Source organism: Homo sapiens, chromosome 12 (assembly GCF_000001405.40).
Source record: "Homo sapiens chromosome 12, GRCh38.p14 Primary Assembly".
Classification (NCBI taxonomy): Eukaryota; Metazoa; Chordata; class Mammalia; order Primates; family Hominidae; genus Homo; species Homo sapiens.
The window spans coordinates 91,266,502-91,273,250 of NC_000012.12; the positions used below are offsets into that span (position 1 = coordinate 91,266,502).

The 6,749-nt window shown below is 37.4% G+C and overlaps 1 annotated feature.

Moving 5' to 3' along the window:
• Window positions 5,941-6,494: an enhancer, noted in NCBI's record as "OCT4-NANOG hESC enhancer chr12:91666219-91666772 (GRCh37/hg19 assembly coordinates)". NCBI's record gives its function as "activates a minimal SCP1, AML or CMV promoter by ChIP-STARR-seq in naive H9 embryonic stem cells {active_cell/tissue: H9 hESC(naive)}" and the evidence as "EXISTENCE:reporter gene assay evidence [ECO:0000049][PMID:30033119]".

Genomic DNA, 6,749 nt, shown 5'->3' on the forward strand with positions numbered 1-6,749 from the left:
TGACCTGATGGCTAACTCTGAAGGACTTGGCCTATTATTACATTGTTTTAAATTATTTGTTCTATGCCCTTAGTTTCTATTTTTTTTGTTTTCTTCTTACATGTCTGATTAATTTGCTGAAAATATTTTGCCTATTTAAATTTCTGTTTCTGAATCCAGATCTCTTGAATTTCTAAAACCTATATGCTAACAATTTTCAACTTTGCTTCTCTACTTTAGACTTGTCTGCAAAGTGCCTGACCCATAAAACCTATTGTCTACTAGGTATTTGCAGTCTAATATTAGGTTGGTGCAAATGTAATTGTGGTTTTTGCCATTACTTTTAATATTTCATTGGAAGGTATGTTGTCTCCACTCATCACTGAGCTTCTGTCTCTCATTTTCTCTCTCAGTTAGGGACACTTAATCTCCCAAGCAAGAAATTTAGGAATCAAATAAGCATCTATTCCTCATTACCTATCTTCAGTTAGTTACTAAGCTTCTACCATTTCTTGCATGTTCTACTGCAATAGCTTCTTATTCAACTGGTCTTTTAGTTTCAGCCTTACCTTCCTCCATTCTTTCCTTCACAGGCTGCCAAGAGAAAGCTCTCTAACAAGTGTAAAATGTAAGTCTGATCATGTCATTTCTCATTCAGAATTCCCCAACAGCTTCCCATAAATGAAGGATTGAAACTACATTTTTGCTAAACATCTCTGGCAGGCATACAAGAACCTGCATGCCTTGGTTCCTACATACCTGTCCAGCCACATCTAACTTATTAAATAAACTGCTTAAAATTCTCCAAACACTTAAAGCTGCTTCAAGCACTTGAATGTCTGTGCATGCAATTCCTTCTGGAAAAAAACTGACCACCTTTTTATTTTCAACCTTAGAAAACTTCAGTACATCTTTCAAAATCCAGCTAAACTCATCCAAATATGTGTGATGCTTGTCCACTTTTCCCCCCAACTGTATTATCACTGGATCTTAAACCTACTTCTAGTACTTTTCAAATAATATTGCAATTTTTGTACACTATCTTTCTCCCCTGCTACTCCATGACCTTCTTGAAGGTAGGGACTGTGTCTTATCTAGTTTCTATTCCCAGCACCTATAATAGTTTGATCCATATTTCATCTTAATAAATATATGTTGAAATCAATTCAATTCAATGCATTCAAGATTTCTTTAGAAGAAGACAGGAAGGAAAGAAACTCCCCAGTAAAGGTTTATACAGGGACCTTGATTATTGTGTCACATAATTGAACCAAAGACCATATATGTAGACCAGTGAATATTTTACGTAAGCTTCCAGGGAAGCTTTTATGTAAGCTTCAGATGATGGGAGATCATGGATTTGTTTTGCAGGCTATACAAAAGGATTAGGATTTCTGCTATAAATAAATCAAGAATATAAGCCTCTGTTGCTCATTTTCAATAATGAAACAGTGCATGAAGGCTAAGGAGTGTCCTGGTAAAAACATATCAGAATATATCAACAGCTACAGGAAAAGTAGCAGATGAATTGAGGGTTTGAGCTAGAGACAAAGTATAGGAAAGAGATTTGTTATAAGGAGAAGATGATGCCTTTAACATAGATTCCAGTTATTGTTTTAGTCAACTGATAGTGAGCAATTTTGGTAGAAACTGGAACTAACTTATGAAACCCTACAAATATTGTAAAAGGAGTATACACAAAACAAATTAAGTGCAGGGACTTTTACCTTGTATTATAAAAGTGTTGTCTTTGGGAGTAAATTCTAACTGAATTTTGGTAGAATTTGATAGGATTGAAAATAACAAAATCACATATTATATAAGCAAATAGAAATTAAGGACTTTTCTCCCTTAAAGTTCAGAAATTGAGGATTTGGATAATTAAATATACATTTTCAAATATGGAATTTAAAAAGACACCTGCAATAATATTTATTTTGTATGCCCACGCGCTAAAACCCCTTCCTATTTTTGGTCATTTCTTTGTCTGGTGGGTCTTGGTTGGGGCAGAGACTGACTTCCACAGAAGTGAAAATCTTTTTTTCCTGGCCTCCCTTGCAACTAGAACACTGGTTCTGTTAGGAAGATGCAACCCCACCAAGTTCTGACTCTTTGACTCAAAGGTATTGAATGCAAAGAAGCAATACTGGTCGGAAATCCATTCTTGCAGGAGTAGGGCAGTAAGTGAAGCTACATCAAATTCCAGAAGAGGCAATGGTGGTGATTCTGCTAGCCTGTGCAACTTCCAGCATCCATGGTTTGTGGGGTACAACAGCTGTGCCTGTGCCCAGTGGTGGCTGCATAGGGATTTGTATAGAATCAATTATCTGACATCATTTTAGAGATTGTTTCTGATGGTGTGGCCTCTAAACACAAGTTGTGTAAGTATTCTAGAATACAGTTCTTTCCTGCATAAATTAGCCTGGGTTGGTTCATGATGCTTAAAATTAAGAACTTTGACTAGCCATCTACCTTTCTAACAAATCCAAAACTTTAATCTACTGATATTCACTGAATGCAAGAAACTATGTTATGTGCTTGAGTGAAGGGATAGCGTCAGGGGTAAATACTGAAATGTAAGCCACAGGCCTGCTCTCCAGGGGCAAGCAGCATAAAACAACTGTAAACTGAGAAGGATGATTGTAGGGCTACATCAAAGCACAAGCCTTGCAGTACAGAAGAAGTAACAACCATTTTTCACTGATGGGGTATCACATAAGTCTTCATGAAAAAGGTATATTTTTTACTAAGTCTGGTAGGATGAATAGGATTTTTGGTAGGGCAATGCATGGAATGAAGGAAGTGAAGATTTCCACTGGGGGATGCTGGACTTAAGGGACAACATAATCAAAAGCGAAGAAGAGGAAGTAAAAACTGAAAGGACAAAAATATAGACTACTGCATCACTCAACCCTAATGAAGTACCAACAATATGGTCCATTTTAAAAACAATTAATGGTCCAATTATTTTTAGAATAGAGAGAGTTCACAGGCACACACATGGGGGGTCCTGAGTGTCTCCCACAAGCTTGAGTACTGAAAAAAATGTACAATGCCTCTGGGAAGTGAAAACACTTTGATTCTTTGCAGACCCCAAGCTCCTTGGGTAGTATCAGGTGTGCTAAGACTGCCTCAGCCTGGTCCTTGTCTCATGTTGTCCAGAGATACAAAAGTCCATGGGTCATATAACCATTTTCCACTTTTTCTGGAGTGGACATAATTTCTTCAAAATAAATAATATTAAGGATTCCAGTACTTAAAACAGAACAAGAGAATCTTCTCTGGTGGAAGGGGAGGCAGGGACTCTCACAGCCTTCACCTCTGGGTTCCCTCTTCACCACACATAAATTTAGACCGTTTACCTTGAAACTTCTAAGAATTTGGAGAACCAAAGTTCATAAAACACTGGGTTATAAAGAAAAAAAATGAAATAGCATAGCAAGAATGAGAGCTTGCCTTAGAAAGAGACATAATGGAGGAATCACACTGACATATGTTTGCTTTCTAAATGGGCTAGGTCGAGGACTCTTTGAGTCACTTCCTCTATATTGTGATATAAAGGGGAGAGGGTGAGCAAATATCCTATATATATAAGGAGTTTATGGAGACTAAGTTTAAGAAGAAAATATAAAATATATGTTACAATTGGGGGATAAAGATATTTTTAGACATAAACTATTCAGATTGAGGTAAGGACTGCTCTGAAGGTAATAAGAAAAAGTATGATGTTATTTAGTGTATTGTTAAAAACCAAGATAGAAATGTGGAAAGTTTGTTTTCACTGGTTATGGAAGAAGAATTAAAAATATAGGCATAAATATATTTTTCTTTCATAATAAAAATTATGGTAATTATAACTGAAACTACTTTTTAATGATAACAATGTAATAATATGAATTTCTTTGGGTTCAGGATACTATGAACATTATGAACAATACACTGAGCAATGATTTTGATGATTCTAGTGCCAGACCACCCAGGAGCTATTTGGACTCAGCAAAGGGTGTGTACTCTTTGGATGGTATGTCTGCATTTTCTGGGAAAAAGAAGTTTTCAGAGTGTGGCATCCTAATCTATACACATTTTCCCTGAAGCGTGTAGAGTCCAAGCATGTTTATTTGCTCTTCTATGCCAAACCAGGGAGGGCAAGACATTTCTAAATCTCCTTTAAGGCAACAAATCAAAGGGCTTCCTTGGAAAGGGTCTTAGATTATCACCCAAGAACCAAACACAAAAAAAACTAGCTGTGCATTTTCCCCTTCTGCATTAAGTCTAAGTTGTTCTTCTGCTCAATTCTAGAAGAAATTAGGGGACTAAAATATGATGGTATAGGAAAAAAGGGTGTCAAGATGACAGGGATAAGAGATACTAGTTTTCTCATTGTATTAGAATTCTATTTTTTAAAAAAGTACATGTTTCATGTATTATGTAACAAACCTGCATGTTCTGCACATGTATCCCAGAACTTAAAGAATATTAAAAAAAAAAAAGAAGAAAAAGAAATCTACTCTTTAAGGACCATTAAGCATCCCTTATTTTCCATGGCATTTTCATTAATTAAAAGAATTAAAAGGAAAAAAAAGTACATGTTTATTTATTTAATCTTCTCACCATGTTGCCAACCAATGTTTCAGTCCCAGTCAAAATCCCTACCTTCTAGTAGGGTGAGAAAGCCAGTAAACAGAGAAAGAGCTAAGATAACCTTAGACTTCAATAACTGTTACAGACAAAATAAACTCAGTGATACAATAGTAAGTAGGAGAGGGTTTTCTTGTTTTTAATGTTTTAGCTGATATAATCTTACCTTCATTATAAAGAAGGTTGCCAGGGAATGCCTTTCCAGTGAGGTGCTATGGGAGTACAGTGCTGAATGAAGTTAAGTTTCACGTCATGTGAAAGTTCTAGGAAAAGAATAGTTCAGTCAGACACTTGGCAAATATAGAGCTCTGAGCAGGAAACAGTTGGGCACATTTGAAAGCAGAGAAAGGAGTCCAAGGTAGTGGAGTGGCGTTGCGGAATGTGGGCATAGAGAACTAGGCAGGGGTTAGACCATGCATGACCTTTTGGGTGTTCGTAAAGGGGATGAGTTTAATTCTTAGATTATTTGGAAGACACTTAAGAATTGTAGTTGGGAAATGACTTAGCCTGATTGGCTTTGTAAAAGGACGCTTTGATTGCTGTGTAGAGAATGGAAAATGATAGCCAAATACATGGGAGCAAGGAGATTTAACTAGAGGGTACTGCTAGAAGCTCAGTGAGAGGTGATGGTGGTTTGGATTGGGAGTGGCAGTGGAAAATGAGGTTTATTCCAGAAGTATAATGCTTTGAAGATGAGCTTGAGGGACTTCCTGGAAGCTTATATGGGGCAAATGGGCTAAGTAAGGGCTCAACGGGGGAAGGGGAGAACTCTTAAATGACCATAAGAATTTTGTTTTAAACAAGTACGTGTACTTAGCTACCTTTACTTAAATGGGAAAAGGTATGGAGGAGAAAAATATTTGTAGAAGAAATCAAGAGTTCTGTGTTAAGCCTGAAGATGTTTCCAGAACATTTACCTCAAGATGTCAAGCAAACAGACAGATATCTCGCTCATATACTCATGCAGCCAACTCATAACACAGAGACACCCAGCATCATCCTTCAGGCTCACACCTGTAACTAGAGGGTACTGCTAGAGGCTCAGTGAGAGGTGATGGTGGTTTGGATTGGGAGAGTGAAACTCCATCTCTAAATAAATAAATAAATAACACAAATATTCAGGACATGCTAGAAGCAGTGCTGCCGTGATTTGGGTCCAAATTTTGCCTCAATACTCAAAAGTATTTTCCAAACCTAAACTCCACTGATAGTCTGTAGGACTTATCAACATTAGAATTTTTCCTCTTTTCATGCATCCTAATCTATAACATGTAGCATAGTTCCATTATGTCCAATTGGAGCTACTTTATTCCTTACACTTCACCTCAGGTGGCCTGCCTGCTGTTATTTTCAAAAGATTAATCCTGGTGGTTATATTGCATAAGACTGCTCTTTATTTGACCTGAAACATTCCTTCACTCCTGACAGACAGACAGGATATGGCCTAATAGGAAAGGGTTCATGAAGCTCCAGCCCTAGTACAGCTGGCGTCCATCCTCCGCCTGTCGCTGCCAACAGGGCTGGGAGATGGCCACTCTCCTGAGCACACTGGACTCTGCAGCTGGGAAGGTGCAGTTCTCTGGGAACAGTCAGAGTTGAGCCCCCATGGTGGGTGGCATGTTTATCTTTTCCCTTGAAAAACAAAAGGTCAATGAGGAACACATGTTTCTATGACAACAAGAAATTCAAAGGGGATGCTAAATCCAAGCAAATGTGAATGCAAGGGAAGAGGAAGAGAAAAGTTGGCCCAGTTTGAAAGGAAGTGATTTGGTAGTACATTGAGTCTCTTTTTATTTCAACTTAATTCCCATCTGAATTTACATGTGATGAAAGGCTGGTGAAGAAAATATGTGAAAATAGGAATAATCCTCTAAAATAATGTAGTCTGTACGCCACTGATGAGGGAGGTCTGAATTTGGTAAAACTAGTGGTCTCAGGTTGGTAAATGATACCCTCAGTTTTCAAAATAGGTATTTTATTTGTTAGCATTGGAAATGACTTAATCTAGTCTGCCTTCTGCCCTGTTGAAAAATCACATTTGCAAATACTATCTTTAGAAAAAGTGTATTTTGTCACCTGTGTTTTCAATGGTCCCATCCATTTTATCCTTGCCATGATTTTGTCATGTTTCA